Source organism: Homo sapiens, chromosome 9, assembly GCF_000001405.40.
Source record: "Homo sapiens chromosome 9, GRCh38.p14 Primary Assembly".
Taxonomy (NCBI): domain Eukaryota; kingdom Metazoa; phylum Chordata; class Mammalia; order Primates; family Hominidae; genus Homo; species Homo sapiens.
In genome coordinates, this window is record NC_000009.12 from 5450379 (window position 1) to 5470674 (window position 20296).

The 20296-nt window shown below is 38.2% G+C and overlaps 1 protein-coding gene and 1 long non-coding RNA gene across 6 annotated transcripts in view, besides 4 other annotated features; one reads left to right on the forward strand and one right to left on the reverse strand.

Annotated features, from left to right (window-relative positions):
• CD274 (CD274 molecule) lies at window positions 164-20176 on the forward strand. 5 transcript variants are annotated; one of them, NR_052005.2, is made up of 8 exons: window positions 164-218; window positions 5722-5787; window positions 6701-7042; window positions 12456-12590; window positions 12697-12743; window positions 15121-15161; window positions 16392-16451; window positions 17462-20176. NR_052005.2 is itself a non-coding variant. In NM_014143.4 (7 exons), exons 2-7 carry the CDS (start codon window positions 5736-5738, stop codon window positions 17482-17484), a joined length of 873 nt encoding a protein of 290 aa, NP_054862.1. In that variant the 5' UTR covers window positions 164-218; window positions 5722-5735; the 3' UTR covers window positions 17485-20176. The 5 variants fall into 5 exon arrangements, 4 of the variants coding, with proteins under 4 accessions (NP_054862.1, NP_001254635.1, XP_047279218.1 ...); NM_014143.4 differs by having other exon boundaries at window positions 12456-12743; window positions 15121-15228; NM_001267706.2 differs by lacking the exon at window positions 6701-7042 and having other exon boundaries at window positions 12456-12743; window positions 15121-15228.
• Window positions 281-440: an enhancer, noted in NCBI's record as "active region_28161". NCBI's record gives its function as "activates an Ori minimal core promoter by ATAC-STARR-seq in GM12878 lymphoblastoid cells {active_cell/tissue: GM12878}" and the evidence as "EXISTENCE:reporter gene assay evidence [ECO:0000049][PMID:35858748]".
• INCR1 (interferon stimulated noncoding RNA 1) overlaps window positions 7053-20296 on the reverse strand; it is a 172297-nt gene continuing 159053 nt past the window's right edge. The window contains exon 3 of the long non-coding RNA XR_007061406.1: window positions 7053-8809. This is a non-coding gene — a long non-coding RNA (interferon stimulated noncoding RNA 1). The remainder of the gene's footprint in view (window positions 8810-20296) is intronic.
• Window positions 8871-9165: a silencer, noted in NCBI's record as "tiled region #9164; HepG2 Repressive non-DNase unmatched - State 24:Quies". NCBI's record gives its function as "represses a minimal TATA promoter and a strong SV40 promoter by Sharpr-MPRA in HepG2 cells {active_cell/tissue: HepG2}" and the evidence as "EXISTENCE:reporter gene assay evidence [ECO:0000049][PMID:27701403]".
• Window positions 8871-9165: an enhancer, noted in NCBI's record as "tiled region #9164; K562 Activating non-DNase unmatched - State 7:EnhWF". NCBI's record gives its function as "activates a minimal TATA promoter and a strong SV40 promoter by Sharpr-MPRA in K562 cells {active_cell/tissue: K562}" and the evidence as "EXISTENCE:reporter gene assay evidence [ECO:0000049][PMID:27701403]".
• Window positions 9082-9141: an enhancer, noted in NCBI's record as "active region_28162". NCBI's record gives its function as "activates an Ori minimal core promoter by ATAC-STARR-seq in GM12878 lymphoblastoid cells {active_cell/tissue: GM12878}" and the evidence as "EXISTENCE:reporter gene assay evidence [ECO:0000049][PMID:35858748]".

The following is a 20296-nucleotide window of genomic DNA, read 5'->3' on the forward strand; positions in this document are numbered from 1 at the left end:
ACCAACACTAGATACCTAAACTGAAAGCTTCCGCCGATTTCACCGAAGGTCAGGAAAGTCCAACGCCCGGCAAACTGGATTTGCTGCCTTGGGCAGAGGTGGGCGGGACCCCGCCTCCGGGCCTGGCGCAACGCTGAGCAGCTGGCGCGTCCCGCGCGGCCCCAGTTCTGCGCAGCTTCCCGAGGCTCCGCACCAGCCGCGCTTCTGTCCGCCTGCAGGTAGGGAGCGTTGTTCCTCCGCGGGTGCCCACGGCCCAGTATCTCTGGCTAGCTCGCTGGGCACTTTAGGACGGAGGGTCTCTACACCCTTTCTTTGGGATGGAGAGAGGAGAAGGGAAAGGGAACGCGATGGTCTAGGGGGCAGTAGAGCCAATTACCTGTTGGGGTTAATAAGAACAGGCAATGCATCTGGCCTTCCTCCAGGCGCGATTCAGTTTTGCTCTAAAAATAATTTATACCTCTAAAAATAAATAAGATAGGTAGTATAGGATAGGTAGTCATTCTTATGCGACTGTGTGTTCAGAATATAGCTCTGATGCTAGGCTGGAGGTCTGGACACGGGTCCAAGTCCACCGCCAGCTGCTTGCTAGTAACATGACTTGTGTAAGTTATCCCAGCTGCAGCATCTAAGTAAGTCTCTTCCTGCGCTAAGCAGGTCCAGGATCCCTGAACGGAATTTATTTGCTCTGTCCATTCTGAGAACCCAAAGGAGTCCTAAAAGAGGAATGGAGGAGCCTAAGAATAAAAATAGTATAATAAAACATTTCTTAGACACATTGACCTTGGCCTATGTCAAAGTTCAGTCTGGGTTTGTCTTATAACACAAGGAGTAAAAGTACCATTGTTCTACCTCTTTTTTTAATACTTGAAAAAAATTTACTGTGGATGCTTTTCTATGAATTAAATAACCTTCTAAAAAATGTTTTCATTGCTGCATTCGATTAGATTGGGTAACTAAATGAAATTAATTCCTCACTGTTGGGTATAAAGGTTATTTACAGTGGTTCTGTCTTAGCCATTCACTGAACTCATTGCATATATATCTCTGGAATATTGCTGATTGTTTCCTTCAAGTAAACTTAGAAGTGTAACTACTTAGTCAAAGAGCCTGAATATTTTAAAGGCCTTTTGAAGAAAACTGAAAATGCTTTCCAGAAAGGATGTATCAGTTGACAATGACAGTCGTCAACAGTATTTAAGGAGAACTATGATACTCTGAAGAAAAACTTAGCCTTTCTCAGTAAAAGTAGGTAGGCAGAGGCCACATGACAGCAGTTAGAGTGTGGTCTTCAAGGAAGTCACAGAAATACTGTGGGGAATTGAAACCCCATGTGGAAAATGTACAAGAGTGTCTCAGTGTGACTGAGAAGGAGGTTGGGCATGGGGTTTCATGGAGTTTAATAAAGTTTGGTCACTTAGTAGAGGTTTAATAAATCAACTGTCTTAATCTTTGATCCTACTTAAGAATTTTTTTTTTGTTTTTGTAGAGATGGGGCTCTTGTTATGTTGCCCAGGCTGTTCTCGAACTCCTAGCCTCAGGCGATCCTCCCTCCTCAGGCTCCAGAAGTCCTGGGATTACTGGCGGGAGCCACCATGCAGGCCTCTTGCTCCTACTTTTGAGAAAGGAAGTTTAACCGGTTTTTTTTGTCTTTTTTTTTTTTTTTTTGAGACAGAGTCTCACTCTGTTGCCCATGCTGGAGTGCAGTGGTGCAATCTCAGCTCACTGCCTCCCGGGTTCAAGTGATTCTCCTGCCTCAGCCTCCCGAGTAGCTGGGACTACAGGCACCTGCCACCACGCCCAGCTAATTTTTGTATTTTTAGTAGAAATGGGGTTTCACCATATTGGCCAGGCTGATCTCGAACTCCTGACCTCAGGTGATCCGCCTGCCTCGGCCTCCCAAAGTGCTGGGATTACAGGCATGAGCCACTGCTCCTGGCTGCTTAACTTTTTCTCTATCTCATCCTCCTACCCATCCTACCCTTGGAAGATAGAGAAGTAGTATTAGTTCCATAGTGTTATACTGGGCTTCCCCCAGGGACAAACCCACTTCCCCAACCTGAATGAGCCATCACTTCTTCCCCAGTTTACATTTCATTGCTCTTTAAATGTCTCCATTCGGATATGGGAATTCACATATGGTCATAATTCTTACCTGAAGAAGATGTCAGTCTTCTTCTCTTAGACCAACTGCCCTGATATGAGGTTTAGAGGTTAAAGAACATGTGTGTATTTACATGATCTTTGTATTCTGCCTTTTCGTCCCTCACTAATGACAGCTGCACCCCAAGGAAATGGAGCTGTGGAAGAGAGGGTTTGATAAGAAATTAAGTAAATATTGGATCTAATCCATCACCCTCCAGGAAGCCTTTATTACTCCTAAAAATTTCAACCAAATTCATTAAAGGACAAGAACTCCACCAGAGTAGGCCATAAACATTGGCAAAATTAGTTGTAATCCATGACTAGATTTAATGTCCCTTTGTTTTATTCCCATATGGTTATAATGCTTTGCTTGGCATTAGGGGTATTTTAAGTTTTCTTCTGCCTAGTAAGTGAATTTGTGTTTATAATACAATAATCATAAAATATCACATTAATATTTTATAACTGTACAGTTATAAAATATTTTATAAGTAATATTTATATTTTATAAGTAATATTTTATAACTGTACAGTTAACTCTGGCCCAAGGAAAAGATAGTCTGATAGATGCTGCAGCCCCATTTTAGCAAATGTGACCTCACAGGCCTGAATGCCATCGCTATTCCACATCTACAGGATAGACGGAAAGGAAAGAAATAAAAAAATAGGTACCTAACACTGGCAAGAGGATGATGACTCATGTTATTTCACTTAACCTTTTTATCTTTTAACATGAAGGACTCATACAGGTTGATAAGAAACCAGTGACATAAACAGACCAAAAAATGATCAGATCTTTCAAATTAGCAAAAAAATAATATTTTTTAAACAATGGGTGAAAATACAGTGTAACAGTACCAATTATCAACATGTGTTGAGAACCAGAAAAATGTTCTTTTTCTTTGATCAGCAACACTATTTGGGAAAATCTATCCTCAGGGCCTAGCCTGGGGCCCTGGCACACAGTAGGCACTCAACGAATATTTGCTGAACACACAAATACTTATGATATTTTAAAAAATTGGCAACAATCTGATACCTAACAATAGAGGGATTAAATATTATGGAACTGTTAAATAAGATGCTTATGAATACCATGCAGTAAGATGGGCAATATTTATGCCATAAGCTTTAATGAAACAAATGGGTATTAAATGTATGATAAGGTTATAAATTACTTTTTAAAAGATTACAGGGAAAAAAATTGAAAGATATACACTGAAATGTTTTTTGCTCACAGTGGTGACAAGGTTTCTCAGCACTGGCACTGTTGACGTTTTAGGCTGTATGTCTTTGCTGTGGGAGGCTGGCCTGTGCACTGCAGGGTGTTTGGCAGCACTCTTGGCCTCTGCCCCTAGATAGCAATAGCAGTCCTCCCTCAACCAGCCCAATTTTGACAACCAAAAATGTTTCCAGGCATCACCAGATGCTCCCTGGGTGAGAGTGATGAAATAGTAGGGGATTTTCCCCTTCTTTTCTTATTTTCTGTAATTCCATTATATTACTTTAATAATAAAGAAAAAAACATAAAAAATAAACGAATGTTATTATTCTACGTCAGTTTGGATGTTTGGACTCCATTTTGGGGTTCTTTCCATTATATCACTTGGTCTGCTAAACATTCTACGGTTTGGTAAGGTGAAGTGATTCATGAAATTTTGGTTTTATTTTTTTCCTGATACTAAAAATAAAACATTCTTTCACTTGGAAATTTGGACACAGAACACCAAAAAAAATCCATAATCTCATCTCTCTTTTTCTGTCTTTTCCTTCCTTTTTTCCCTTTAAAAACAATAAAGAGTGAAACCTACCTGTTCTCCCTCTAATTTAATTCCTAAATATAATCACTGTCAATATCTTGGACATTTCCTGTGTCTAAACACACACACACACTTTTTTTTTTCAGCAAAAGTGGATTTCTGCTACATGTAGTGTTCTGCAACTTACTTTCTATGTGTTTACAAAATCAGTACATGTACATATGCTGAATTCAGTCCTTAATGGTATTATATTTTGTGAATATACCAAAATTTGTTTAACCACTTAGACAATCTAGGATATTCTCAGTTTGCTGTTATGAGCAATGCTCTTCCTTTACATATACAGACATATATATATATATGTGTGTGTGTGTGTTTTTGTTTTAGTAGGATAGATTTCTAGGAGAGGGTGAAAGGTCTTATGACATCCGCATTTACGATTGTAATAGGAAGTATCAAAGTGCCCCCTAAAGAAAAAAATCCTCCCATTAGTGGGTAAGAAAGCCTATTTGTTCATATCTTCACAAACACTAAATATTAGAAATATTTACAATTGTGGTCAAGCTCATAAGTGAAAATGGTATTTCATATCTTATATTTTTTATTGTGAGATTGAACATCTTTCATATGTTTACATGTCACCTGTATTTCTTATTCTCTGAACTATATGTTATGACCTTTCACTTTTTTTCCTCATGGGTTATGTGTAGTTTGTATAGTTGTCTTATTGATTGTTAGGAGCTATTTATATATTAGGAACATTAATCTCCTGTCTTATATATACGTGGCATCGATTAGTTGATCATTTGTGAGTTCATGTCTGTATACAAAGATTGGAGAGGCACTAAGAGGGAAAACTTACCTCTTTCTTATCAAAGTTTGTAAATATATGTATAACAGAAGAGGGAGAAAATATTAATAAATGCACAGATTGGCTGAAATAGAGTATAAATCTTTTACTCCCCTACTTCAACATAAACTGCAAAAGGAGAGTGACTTTTCTTTCACTCTGACTTCCGTATTCCTCATGCTTAAAATAGTGCCTAGCACAGAAGAGGTGCTCAATCAGTGTTTGCTAAACGAAATAATTAGTCACATTTCAAGCAGGATGACTAAATGAAGAATAGAATCTAGGCAGATACTCTGGAAGAGTGGCTGTGAGTCATTCATATCTTAGTATGAATTAGTCAAATCCAACTCTCTCCCCTTCCCACTCCCCACTGTTAGTAGAAGAATCTGTTTATTGAGAGAATAGATTTATAATTTAGAATAAGTGAGAGGGGCAGAAGAGGAGATTTTGAAGGATGGCACCTGAAGGAGGACTAGCATGGCTGAGACAGTGAAGTGGAAGCCTTGAATAGCTAAAGGGTAAGATGAAAGTATTTAGCTGTAGGGGGAAAAAGCATTGACAGGTTGGAAAAGTAAAAGTCAGATTCTCCTTGCTCTGAAATTTTGTACAGGGCAGGTTCTACTAGGTATGTTACAATGCAGAAAAAACATGAAATAATTGAGAGGAATTTGGTGCAATATTATCTTCTTGGCTTCTTTTGAGTGGGCAGATTTTTTTCACGGCCTGTAACTATAATAAATTTGAAACTTCTCATCTTTTAGTAACTTTTTTCACTTAAGTTTATGTGGCTGTGGGCAATGGAATGAAGATATTGAACTTCCAATTCCCTGTTGGGTTTCCACAATTACAAGTCAATCATGACTGGTTATTAGAAGACTATTTCAGTTAGAACCACCAAGTCCCATATTGTCATATTGTATGTTTAATTATTAAGTGAAGCAGTCTTCTTTTCGTGTTTTCCATAATTAGGGCATTCCAGAAAGATGAGGATATTTGCTGTCTTTATATTCATGACCTACTGGCATTTGCTGAACGGTAAGACACCAAATCCTTCCATTAGGTTCTATATTTTAAATATTTTAACCATGAGTTTAAAACTAAAATGATCATTTAAAATGCATGCAATTTTCTTATAGAGAGAACATTCTATTCTTTCTTCTACTTTACACAATGGCAAAGTCTTCTTTCTACTTTACGCAATGATAAAGTTACCTGTGTCATTTTGTAAAAATATAGAGAATATAGACAAATTGAAAGACACAAAATAATCTATTACCCATTTCCCAGGGTTAACTACTGAAAATATCTGGGGAAATGGCCTGTATGTATACATTTATTTGTTTGCTTTCAACAAGGCCAAGATCCTTTGATCTTTCAGTCTTGGTTGCTCTGTGACATGCCTTTCCTGATGAGGATACTTTAAGGAAGAATTGTAAGATACATGGAAAATGTCAGGCTAACACAGTACTGGCATCACCCTGTGCTCTTTCCTGAACTCCATACCAATGTACTTCTTGCCAGAAAACTGATCAAAAGTTTAGGGAAGTAAAAAGAGATGACTGTTAGAATCTACCATTCCCTCTATGTAGGAAGCAAATAGGTGTCCTGTCAAAGGACATTCTGGGGATGTCTACATGAAACCAAGTCTCCCTGGTTGTAAGGACTCCATCTCCATATAATATTTATACAGTAATATATGTTTATAAATTGTGGGGGCAACTTGTTTAGCTAATTTTATTATTCTGCTATTGGGACACTGTGTCTCAGCATGAGATATAGTGTCCCAAAACATATTTCAAGCCCATTGGATAAAATATGTGTTTAGCAAGTTCTTAAATATAATGATAACATAACCGACCAGATAAAGTGATTTATAAACGCTGTGCCAATTTTGTAAATGTTTCGAGGAATTTTCCCTTTTCTGAAGATTGTCCTTCTTTCTTTTTAGCATTTACTGTCACGGTTCCCAAGGACCTATATGTGGTAGAGTATGGTAGCAATATGACAATTGAATGCAAATTCCCAGTAGAAAAACAATTAGACCTGGCTGCACTAATTGTCTATTGGGAAATGGAGGATAAGAACATTATTCAATTTGTGCATGGAGAGGAAGACCTGAAGGTTCAGCATAGTAGCTACAGACAGAGGGCCCGGCTGTTGAAGGACCAGCTCTCCCTGGGAAATGCTGCACTTCAGATCACAGATGTGAAATTGCAGGATGCAGGGGTGTACCGCTGCATGATCAGCTATGGTGGTGCCGACTACAAGCGAATTACTGTGAAAGTCAATGGTAAGAATTATTATAGATGAGAGGCCTGATCTTTATTGAAAACATATTCCAAGTGTTGAAGACTTTTCATTCTTGTAAGTCCATACTTATTTTCAAACAGAACAGCATAGTCTGTTCATTCATTCATTCAATTCATGAATTCATTCACATAATTATCCAATTTCTTGAGCACCTATTTGATAGTCACTGGAAATCCAGAGACAAACAACACAGAGCCATGTTCTACAGTATGTACAGTTTTCCAAAAAGAATTTCTAGTCTTTACTTTTTTATTACAAATGGAATACGTATACTTGCAAATAATTCAGATACTGTGGAAGAGATCAAATGAATTGCAAAAGTGTCCCTCCTCCCTTCACCACTATCTCCCATGGCATGCAGAGAGAGTAACCATTATTTGTGTGTCCCTCCAGAAATTTTTTTATTCAACTACTATTTTTTTATTTTATTAGGTCCGTCAGTTTTCCTTTTTTGAGCCTCTCTATATCAAATGCAAATAAATATATTCAGAACAAACCCCACTGTAAGGTTCACATTAAAAAAGACTTGAAGTCACCCTATGAAGACAAAAAATAATCACATTAAGTGTGAAAGAACCTATTCTTCCAGTACAGGATAAGCCATACTTACTGGGCATATATTCATCTTGAAAATCTATACTGATGTTGTCTTGGGGAATTGAAAAGGAACTAGGAGTGTTAGTTCCTCGGTATTGACCCACAGTTATGTTATCAGGTCACTTGAGTTCAAAGTTTTGTGTTGGCACTAGCTAAGTAAAGGAAAACACCTCTGCTTTCATTGTTGAGTTTCACAGAATTGAGAGCTGAAAGGATCCCAGGCAGGAGCAGCTAATCCAAACTCCCACAAAGAACAAAAATCCCCCAGAGGATCTTCTGTTCTTATATTTCCTGCAATGGCGTCCCTGTCATATCCCACAATGGCCTCCCTGCCATTTGGATATCCCTTCCATATCCTGTTGAAATTACTCCCTAATAGTAAGCTGAAATCTGCCCCTCTAGTTGTAGTCTTGGGATTATTTCATTTACATGATGACCTTTTAATATTTGACTAGAATTAAATCATCTCCCCTTGGTCTTTCCATTCCTGGGCTAACTACCATCAATCTGAGGGCTAACAATACAAGTAGAAAAAGTATACATTTGTCACTGATCACTGATCAATTATTAATCAATGATCACTGATAACTATAAACTCAAAAACAAAATCATGTGGGGATTAAGAGAAATGTATCAGTTTTATGTTGTATTTCTGGTCCCTGATACTGGCTCAGGTAATGCCACTATTGTCAAGAAGATACCACTTGTAAAGTAGATTTAATTTTCATTATATTTTACCATATGCTTCTCCATTCATGACATCTCTTGAGATGTTGTGGTTTATACTTTCAGTTTTTCTCCAGTCCATCCGCAAATATCAGGCATCTACTGTGTTCCAAGATATTAAAGAAATCATCATGACTTAGCCTCATCAACAGCATTGCTAGATCTGGGATGGAAAGGAAGAGTATAATCCTGGCAGTCAGGAAGAAGGCAGCATAAAGTATAAGTTTCTGCTTCCAAAAAAGGTCTCTCATCAGCCTGTAGGGAGTGTGTAGGGAAGGGACAGCTGTCCTTGTAGTAGGGAAGGGTTTTATTCAGGTCGTCTGGGCTCCATAATATCCCTTGTGTATCTGCAGTCTCCTTTGCCATGGATCAACACAATAGGAAATCTTCCGGCACTGATGGTTTTTCCAAGGGGGAGTTCTTCCTGGAGCAAAGCAAATGACCAACCAGGTTTGAGGACCTGATTTGTTTGACAATTCCATTTTGTATTGTAAATTACTTAATTGGCATTCTACTCCCAATCCATCTTGTCATTTGCATACAGTGGTTTTGGGATTGAGTTCAGCTATACCAAAAGTCTGAACCTTCTGCACTTAGAACAAGGCAACCACCAAGCTTCACTTGCACTGAGGCCGTGTCTCCAATGGAAATGAGGCAGCTGGCTTGCAGGAGCTTCCCAACTCAGGGAAGTAGAACTCCTGAGTCACCTCCATATGCAAATGATTTCACAGTAATGCTGTTGAACTTCACTTCCCATCACAGCAAATGTGTGGTAACATAGCTTCCCCACAGGAGTTTACTCACCATGGTATTTTAAAGGTGAAACATTTCAAAACTGAAATTTGAAAGAATTTAGTTTTGGATTCACTCAATTATCACTATCACTTCGGGTGTTATTGCACCTTTCTTGTTTGTGAGTTTAAATGCCAGACTCTCAGGCCACTAACTTTCAATTAAAAGTGTTTTTCTTTAATCGCTGAACCTAACAGCAGGGAAAACGAAATGTTCATTCAGACTTTCAGAACCTTCAATGAGATTAGGCAGCTGAAAGATCAAAGTGTTGCATAGTTGTCCCGATAAAGCTATTTGGATCATATGGACCAAATCGACTGCTGTCATTCCCCACCAACCCCATCTCTCCCCAAAATTCCCAGCCCTGTTTAAGTGTTCTCTGTAGCATTTATCTCTATCTAGTATATTGTGTAGCATATCATATCATACTTTTCTGTTTTGTTTATTGTCTCTCTCCTCCTAGAATATAAACTCCACAAGCACAAAGATTTGGGCCTGTTTTATAATATTGTTGCATCCCCAGGGCCTGATATACAGCAGAGTGGTGGTACGAAAAGAGCACACAAAAAAATATTTGTTGAGTCAATGAATGAATGATTTCCTCAAATAGGATTAGCCTAAAATTTTGGAAACATGAACAGATTTGGATATGTGAAAATTTATTTCCAGACTGTTCATCAGGAACTGTTAGCAGCTTCTAAAGGGTACACTGGAGCAGCAGTAGTAAAAGGAGGAAGAGGAGCAGCTCTGCTACTGCTACTATCGAGTACTACTACAATTAGCACTTGCTTATTCTGTGTGTTAGGCCCTGTACTGAACACTCTGTCTAAATTAGTTCATTTCCTCCTGGAAATGACTCTAGGGGGTAAGTGCTTCATCATGTAAGATGAGTATTTTTCACATTTTGTTGTGTCTGAAATCTGAGTGTGTCTTTCAATGATGGAATCTTTGATTCCATGATAAGTGGTATTATTCCCATTTTAAGGATGAGGAAACTGAGGTCCAAAGAAATTAAGTAATTTGCCCAAATTCACCCAGCCTAGAAAATGATAAAGCTAGTTCTAAACCCAAGCAGATTAGCTCTGAAGTCTGGGCCCTTAATAACCACTTTTTATTGCCTATATTTGTACCTCTGGTGTACGTATCAAGTTATATGTTGACTTCAAAACTATCATGACCTTTTCTTGGTTTTGATTGTCCAACATTAGTATAGTGTTCTGGGTCTGCAAAAATTTTGATTACTCATCTCATCTGTAAAACATTTTGAACTCGTGTGTTTGTGCATGCACATTTGTGTGTAATTATAAAAATTTTACTTTCTGTTAATATATAAGTTGTATCATAAGAAACTGCCGTTTTTGAAGAGCAAAAAAAGGTTGAATGTTACCAGTTACATCTGGTTCAACCTAATAGACATTTGTACAAAAACAGACATTTTAAGAGGTTGAAATAAAAATTTAATAAACAATATTTTCAGTTTTTACTAATTGTGATGCTTCACTATCATTAGCTAATATGTCAAGGCATAATATACCTTAGGGTGAACTTTATCATTAACAAAGGTGGATGGTGTCAATAATCTTGAGGTTTGTGTTTTTTTATATAACACTGCGAGGTCTAATTAAGTACTTACTGTTTACCACCTCATACAGTGGCCGATAAAAAGTGTCACTTCTGCTGTTTCCTCTGGGTTGTGCTTGAATTATTAGTATTATCTTCAGTCCTCAGTTTCTTTGTGGGAAACTTTTTAATTAGTTGTTTAATTTTGTAAGATGGTTAGTTTAGTCAAAATTAGATAAGAGAATTTGAAAATCCGTAGCTACCCCAAAGCAACCTACACATAAGAACTATTATTTTTGTGTTTTGAAATCATAATTTTATTGATTTCCAGTGTTTCCACTGGTAGTGGTTTCATTGATATAGGAGTATCAAAACATCACTCATTATTTATTTCAGTTTCATTTGATCCTAGCCGTTTTGTATTAACTCTCTGTGAAGAAATTACCTCACAAATCTATTGCTGTCCTTGGTAAAGGAATGGAGAATTAAGGCTCTAGATCATTAGTGGTTACACTATAGTATTAGAAGTAAAAAAAAGATTATACCAACAAAATAAGAACATGTTAATGTACTTGTAATGAATAAACATGAATAAAGCTCTTATGCTATATAGGTGCACTAAACAATCTACTAGAATTGTCAGCAAACTACGTATCTTAATCCTGAAAGGGTCCCAAACCAATGATCTAAAATTGAATCAAACTTTCTTCCTTGAGCATAATTACTTAAATGATTTATTAAAATAGCCAGCATTTAAAAGCTTAAAATGTAAATATCATAATGTGGTATCCTAGATAGCATCCCAGAACAGAAAAAGGATATTAGGGAAAAACTGGAGGAATGGAATAAATTATGCAGTTTAGTTATTAATAATGTACTAACGTCCTTAGTTATGACGATTGTACCATGGTAATGTAAGATACTAACAATAGAGGAAACCGGGTAAGGAGTATACAGTAACTCTATACTATCTTTGCAACTTTTTTGTAAATTTAAAACTTCTAAAATAAAGAACAAATTTAAACATTAAAAAGTATCACCAGGAACATATATCACTGTTTACAGATGAAATACTATGTATTTTCATATCTAATTTCTGATCATTGACTTCAAATCAGAAAAGTGAATGACACCTCAAAATCAGGTTTTCTGTTTACTGAAGTCTAAGAAAAGAAAGCATACCAGCTGGAGAGATTCATGTTTATAAAGACAGATTTATAACAACAAAAATAAAATATCCAAGAATAAATTTAAGAAGAAGCACTTTACTGAGAAACATATGAAAACCTGAACAAATGGAGAGGGATATTTTGTATTTGAATAGAAAGACTTCTGGTTTAAAGATAATTCTCTTTAAATTATTTTTTGTAGAAATTTAAGGGGTACAAGAGCAGTGTTGTCACATGGATATATTACATAGTGGTGAAGTCTGGGGTTTTAGTGTAAATTAATCTTTACATTTTGTTTGAGCCCAATAAATGTACCAACATGATTTTTATAGAAAGATAGTCATTCCTATTAATCCAAACTTGTCCCAACTTTGAATTGAATTGAGGCAGAGCTAGCAGGTGTTCCCCACGGCTGAGGCATCTGAACATTAAGCATATCCCTCTGAGAACCAGCCTGCATTGATACTCTTTCTAATGTGGACAGCATCAAGCTATGTACGTAGTTCTGTGCTCAGCAAAAGCCCTGACTTCTTTTTGTTTATGTCCTAGCCCCATACAACAAAATCAACCAAAGAATTTTGGTTGTGGATCCAGTCACCTCTGAACATGAACTGACATGTCAGGCTGAGGGCTACCCCAAGGCCGAAGTCATCTGGACAAGCAGTGACCATCAAGTCCTGAGTGGTAAGACCACCACCACCAATTCCAAGAGAGAGGAGAAGCTTTTCAATGTGACCAGCACACTGAGAATCAACACAACAACTAATGAGATTTTCTACTGCACTTTTAGGAGATTAGATCCTGAGGAAAACCATACAGCTGAATTGGTCATCCCAGGTAATATTCTGAATGTGTCCATTAAAATATGTCTAACACTGTCCCCTAGCACCTAGCATGATGTCTGCCTATCATAGTCATTCAGTGATTGTTGAATAAATGAATGAATGAATAACACTATGTTTACAAAATATATCCTAATTCCTCACCTCCATTCATCCAAACCATATTGTTACTTAATAAACATTCAGCAGATATTTATGGAATATACCTTTTGTTCCATGCATTGTAGTACTCATTGGATACACATAGAATAATAAGACTCAGTTCACACTCTTCAGGAAACAGATAAAAAACTAAGAAACAAACAAAAAACAGGCAATCCAACACCATGTGGGAAATGCTTTCATAGCCGGGAAACCTGGGGAATACCTGAGAGGAATACTCAATTCAGGCCTTGTTTCAGGAATCCAAATCCTGGCACATCAGAGCTGCTTCCCTCTTTCCAGGGTGGCAGGAAATAAATGGAACATATTTTTCTATCTTATGCCAAACATGAGGGACCCTTTCTCCCCGGTGCCTCTCCCAAGGTAGTCTACAATATTTCAACTCTAGCAGTCTGCTTAGTGCATAGAACATGAGGCTGTGTGTCCCTGGGCAAATTACTAGACTTCTGTGTGCTTCACTTTCCCTGTAGGATTATAATCTACTGAGCAAGCTTATTGTAAGGGTCAGATTAGCAACAGTGTATGAAAATGATTTGAGACCATTGCCTGCACAAATTCAACTATTTTTTTTTATCTCACTACTCTACAGAAGTAGGTAGGGTGGGAGACAGAGTCTGATGAGAGGCTCAGAATGTGAAAGAAAGTGAGGCGAGTGAGCATGATATTTAATATAAACACAAAGATATTCTGAGAAGAGCTGCTCACTGCCCCCTCCCCCAATACATGTTGATAGGAAAATGCCACGTACTTCAGCAAAAACAACTGAAAAATTAGATAGAAAAGTCAATCAATAGGAAAAGATAATCCAGGACGGTGTTGTGAACAGAAAGAGGGGGAAAAAACTTTAGAAAATGATGGGGATGCTCTTACTGGGGTACGAGTCCTCAGGTATTGAACTGGCTTTCAGTAAAAGCTAGATTAGTGGGTTCCTGCCATTTACAAGCTGTTTTATGACAACTTACTTGTTGGGTGGCCTACAGTAACTCACCTAACTGCACTGAGTCTGTTTCCTCATCTGTAAATTGGGGATTTTTTTTTAAATACCTGGCATGCCTAACTCATAAAGTTGTTCTGAAACTGAAATAAAACATACGTGAACAGGCATTGTAAACTGTAAGTTACGGAAAAAGCTGGCTGTTGTTGTGTCTTTAAAGTTTCACCTGGGTAGTCAAAGATGGATCATGGGTCTCAGTGGAGAGCTGAGCCAGGCAGGAGCTGACTAAGGGTGAGAGGTGGGAGTTAGCAGCCTCTGAACATCTGTGTACCATGGGACCCCCTTTCCTCCTGCATGGTACCCCAGACAAGGAGCCTAGTAAGAGATACTAATGGCTTGTTGTCCAGAGATGTTCAAACTGCAGAGAAAGATAAGACAACAAGCATTGGCCTCCAATCATGATGACAGATAGGAGGAGGTGGGAGCTCCTTAGCAGTGCTGGTTGGCCTTCCATGTTCTACTGTGGGCCATCTCTGCCATGTACTGTAGGCTACTAGCTTCTATATTAAAGAATGCAAGAGGGGCCAGGAGCGGAGGCTCATGCCTGTAATCTCAGCACTTTGGGAGGCCAAGGTGGGCAGATCACTTGAGGTCAGGAGTTTGTGACCAGCCTGGCCAACATGGTGAAACTCTGCCTTTACTAAAAATATAAAAATTAGCTGGGTGTGGTGGTGTGCACCTGTAATCCCAGCTACTCGGGAGACTGAGGCACAAGAATTGCTTGAACCTGGGAGGCGGAAGTTGCAGTGAGCCCAGATTGCGCCACTGCACTCCACCCTGGGCAACAGAGAAAGACTCTGCCTCAAAAAAAAAAAAAAAAAGCAAGAGGAAGTGAAATAATCAAGGCCGCCATTTAATAGTGAGCAGCCACTCCATGTGGTACTGTGCAAGCACATTATAAATATTAGCCTCACAAGAAATGTATTAGCATTTGTATTTTGTACACTGGTTAAGTATCTTGCCCAAGACCTCAAAACTGGTTAAGGGCAGCAGAATTTAGCCCCAGCACCACCTTTTCAAAGCCTGGGCTTCTCACACTTCTCCATGCTGTTCCCATTTTAACACAGGTATCTCGCCATTCCAGCCACTCAAACTTTGGCATTTAAGAAAATTATCCTAAAGCTAAACTAAACTTCAAGGATGACCATTCTCCTGACCCCTTCCCATCAAAATTTTATCTTTAGTCAGTTTGTTTTCGTTTTGTTTTGTTTTTCAGAACTACCTCTGGCACATCCTCCAAATGAAAGGACTCACTTGGTAATTCTGGGAGCCATCTTATTATGCCTTGGTGTAGCACTGACATTCATCTTCCGTTTAAGAAAAGGTAGTATTTCCTTAATTGCAGTGGTCTCCACTGGGGGTGAGGAAGGGGTGAGAATTGGATCATGGCTGCAAGGAAACCCGACTTAACCTCTGCAAGGTGGTGCAAAGGCATTCCACTGTTCAACAGCAATTATATTGAAGCTGAGTGGGATCACTGGGTGAAGATGAAGCGTAAGGGGTGAGGGGCAGGAGAATGGGTATGGATGGAGGTAGAAGATGCAGTGTCATACAGTTTTTTTCTATCATGAAAATAACCACAGACTTACAGAAGAGAAAGAGCTAAAATGCCCGTCATTTTCAGTTGCATTTTAGTCTTGCATTAGTTGCAACCAGCTGGTTTCTGGGTACCCTAAGTAATAAAAATAGTTCCTCTGTAGAACTGTAGTATGTTTACCATAGAGTATTTTGCAAAATTTTTGGTAGAGGATGTTACATAATTTGCATGTGTTCATTTCTCCATTTACCTGTGGGAACAATTAAAATCCAGGAAAATGAGTATATTCAAATAATTTCCTCCCATTTAAGATGAGTCAGAGTAAATAATTCCTCCAATACTTAGAGAAGTATACCAAGAGATCCAGTGATGGTATAGAGTTGTCTGATGTTAAATAGGGAAGTAGAATATGGAAGGGGATTCCAATAGTCGTTGAAAAATTCCCCATAACCCCTTACATGGGGGAAAGTAGTGTTAACTGAGAGAGTAGAGATAAGCTGTTTCCAAAAATTATATTCTTAACAGGACTGAGATAGCCAGAATATAAGGATCAAGTTTCAATGACAGTAAGATCCTGAGATGGAGTTGATTTGCACAAAGAAATAATTGTTGCCAGCATGCATTTTGAATATTTCTCTGGAAAAAAAGATTAGTTGGCAGTAGAAATGGATAGAAATCAATAGATATTAAAATACCTCAGAATTTGGTTCATCTCTGGGAAAAGATGAAAAATAAAAGTGTATACTCCTCAAGAACATCTAGGATCAAAAGCATGTGCCCTACACTATTGAATTAATTAACCTCATAAGTTGGGACCTGTGGAATAAGGATGTCCACCAGACTTCCTAGGGATTACAAATGTTTCACAGAACTTGAAATTTAAACTTGGGTCACTGTATGGGATGTAGAGCTGTGCTATATGGAAATAAAAATGATTTCTTTTTCTCAAGGGAGAATGATGGATGTGAAAAAATGTGGCATCCAAGATACAAACTCAAAGAAGCAAAGTGGTAAGAATATCAGAAGGAATTGGGAAGTAAAAGTCAAAGGAAACAAAAAGCTAAAGCAATAACAAAGAGAAATCCATCAGTCATAATCTCCTCTCCTTTTAAAGAATGCTGGTTCCCCTTTGCCTCACAGCTAACACAAGAACTCCTCCACCGTCTGAGGAGGTTTAGGAGCAGGGAAGGGGAAGGAGTCAGCTTCATTTGCTAATCTTCTGTTGCCCTGCACCCTAGCAGCTCCTTGCAGCAGGGGACAAGGATGACTTAGGTGGATGGATAATTAATTGATTCTAAAATATTGTGTGTCAGTATTGTAATACTATGTTAATTGCACCATGCACGGTATCTCATTTAATCCCCCACCCCTTGCCATTACCAAAGAGAGAGAGAGAGAGAGAGAGAGAAATACTAGAATTTATCCTCATTTTACAGTAGAGAAAACAGAGGGTCAAGAAGATAATGTAAAGTGCCCAAGAACACACAGCTGATCACAAAAATCAAGCTTGGGGGCCATTAGCCTAACCACAGACCCTTACTCTTAACCCATCTGCTTCAATCCATTTTGCTACAAATGTTTACATTTATAAGCAGGGCAGAAAAACCTCATCCAGGTTATTGAACTAAGAAGAAAGTTATATTAAGGTTTCTAATTTTTTTAATGTAGTTAGAAACCAAACTTAACAATGAGCCCAAGTTTAAAGCAGTCTAATTAACCTGGACAAGCTCAGGCAAGTTTCATTCTGTGGCCCATAGCATCATCTGTGTTGTAAAGCTAAGTAGCAAATGTTGTTTGGGTCATGCTGGGGGACAAGCCATCCCAATTTGCTCAGGACTGAGGGGTTTTCCAGGATATCATGTAAGGATAATTGGGTACAAATATAACCTGCTGCTTTCTCTCATTTCAAATTTATCATTTATCATATCAGCAACTATGAGTTATGTTTTTTATTAGATTTCTTGTTACTTTTTCCCCAGACCACTTCCCATGAAATTAATATACTATTATCACTCTCCAGATACACATTTGGAGGAGACGTAATCCAGCATTGGAACTTCTGATCTTCAAGCAGGGATTCTCAACCTGTGGTTTAGGGGTTCATCGGGGCTGAGCGTGACAAGAGGAAGGAATGGGCCCGTGGGATGCAGGCAATGTGGGACTTAAAAGGCCCAAGCACTGAAAATGGAACCTGGCGAAAGCAGAGGAGGAGAATGAAGAAAGATGGAGTCAAACAGGGAGCCTGGAGGGAGACCTTGATACTTTCAAATGCCTGAGGGGCTCATCGACGCCTGTGACAGGGAGAAAGGATACTTCTGAACAAGGAGCCTCCAAGCAAATCATCCATTGCTCATCCTAGGAAGACGGGTTGAGAATCCCTAATTTGAGGGTCAGTTCCTGCAGAAGTGCCCTTTGCCTCCACTCAATGCCTCAATTTGTTTTCTGCATGACTGAGAGTCTCAGTGTTGGAACGGGACAGTATTTATGTATGAGTTTTTCCTATTTATTTTGAGTCTGTGAGGTCTTCTTGTCATGTGAGTGTGGTTGTGAATGATTTCTTTTGAAGATATATTGTAGTAGATGTTACAATTTTGTCGCCAAACTAAACTTGCTGCTTAATGATTTGCTCACATCTAGTAAAACATGGAGTATTTGTAAGGTGCTTGGTCTCCTCTATAACTACAAGTATACATTGGAAGCATAAAGATCAAACCGTTGGTTGCATAGGATGTCACCTTTATTTAACCCATTAATACTCTGGTTGACCTAATCTTATTCTCAGACCTCAAGTGTCTGTGCAGTATCTGTTCCATTTAAATATCAGCTTTACAATTATGTGGTAGCCTACACACATAATCTCATTTCATCGCTGTAACCACCCTGTTGTGATAACCACTATTATTTTACCCATCGTACAGCTGAGGAAGCAAACAGATTAAGTAACTTGCCCAAACCAGTAAATAGCAGACCTCAGACTGCCACCCACTGTCCTTTTATAATACAATTTACAGCTATATTTTACTTTAAGCAATTCTTTTATTCAAAAACCATTTATTAAGTGCCCTTGCAATATCAATCGCTGTGCCAGGCATTGAATCTACAGATGTGAGCAAGACAAAGTACCTGTCCTCAAGGAGCTCATAGTATAATGAGGAGATTAACAAGAAAATGTATTATTACAATTTAGTCCAGTGTCATAGCATAAGGATGATGCGAGGGGAAAACCCGAGCAGTGTTGCCAAGAGGAGGAAATAGGCCAATGTGGTCTGGGACGGTTGGATATACTTAAACATCTTAATAATCAGAGTAATTTTCATTTACAAAGAGAGGTCGGTACTTAAAATAACCCTGAAAAATAACACTGGAATTCCTTTTCTAGCATTATATTTATTCCTGATTTGCCTTTGCCATATAATCTAATGCTTGTTTATATAGTGTCTGGTATTGTTTAACAGTTCTGTCTTTTCTATTTAAATGCCACTAAATTTTAAATTCATACCTTTCCATGATTCAAAATTCAAAAGATCCCATGGGAGATGGTTGGAAAATCTCCACTTCATCCTCCAAGCCATTCAAGTTTCCTTTCCAGAAGCAACTGCTACTGCCTTTCATTCATATGTTCTTCTAAAGATAGTCTACATTTGGAAATGTATGTTAAAAGCACGTATTTTTAAAATTTTTTTCCTAAATAGTAACACATTGTATGTCTGCTGTGTACTTTGCTATTTTTATTTATTTTAGTGTTTCTTATATAGCAGATGGAATGAATTTGAAGTTCCCAGGGCTGAGGATCCATGCCTTCTTTGTTTCTAAGTTATCTTTCCCATAGCTTTTCATTATCTTTCATATGATCCAGTATATGTTAAATATGTCCTACATATACATTTAGACAACCACCATTTGTTAAGTATTTGCTCTAGGACAGAGTTTGGATTTGTTTATGTTTGCTCAAAAGGAGACCCATGGGCTCTCCAGGGTGCACTGAGTCAATCTAGTCCTAAAAAGCAATCTTATTATTAACTCTGTATGACAGAATCATGTCTGGAACTTTTGTTTTCTGCTTTCTGTCAAGTATAAACTTCACTTTGATGCTGTACTTGCAAAATCACATTTTCTTTCTGGAAATTCCGGCAGTGTACCTTGACTGCTAGCTACCCTGTGCCAGAAAAGCCTCATTCGTTGTGCTTGAACCCTTGAATGCCACCAGCTGTCATCACTACACAGCCCTCCTAAGAGGCTTCCTGGAGGTTTCGAGATTCAGATGCCCTGGGAGATCCCAGAGTTTCCTTTCCCTCTTGGCCATATTCTGGTGTCAATGACAAGGAGTACCTTGGCTTTGCCACATGTCAAGGCTGAAGAAACAGTGTCTCCAACAGAGCTCCTTGTGTTATCTGTTTGTACATGTGCATTTGTACAGTAATTGGTGTGACAGTGTTCTTTGTGTGAATTACAGGCAAGAATTGTGGCTGAGCAAGGCACATAGTCTACTCAGTCTATTCCTAAGTCCTAACTCCTCCTTGTGGTGTTGGATTTGTAAGGCACTTTATCCCTTTTGTCTCATGTTTCATCGTAAATGGCATAGGCAGAGATGATACCTAATTCTGCATTTGATTGTCACTTTTTGTACCTGCATTAATTTAATAAAATATTCTTATTTATTTTGTTACTTGGTACACCAGCATGTCCATTTTCTTGTTTATTTTGTGTTTAATAAAATGTTCAGTTTAACATCCCAGTGGAGAAAGTTACTTGGAATATTTGCAGCCTTGTTCCTAGTTCTTTTTTCATTGCTTATACAGCATGTTTTTATACAGCATGCTTTTGAATCCTGCACAATGAAAAAAGTATCAAAAGA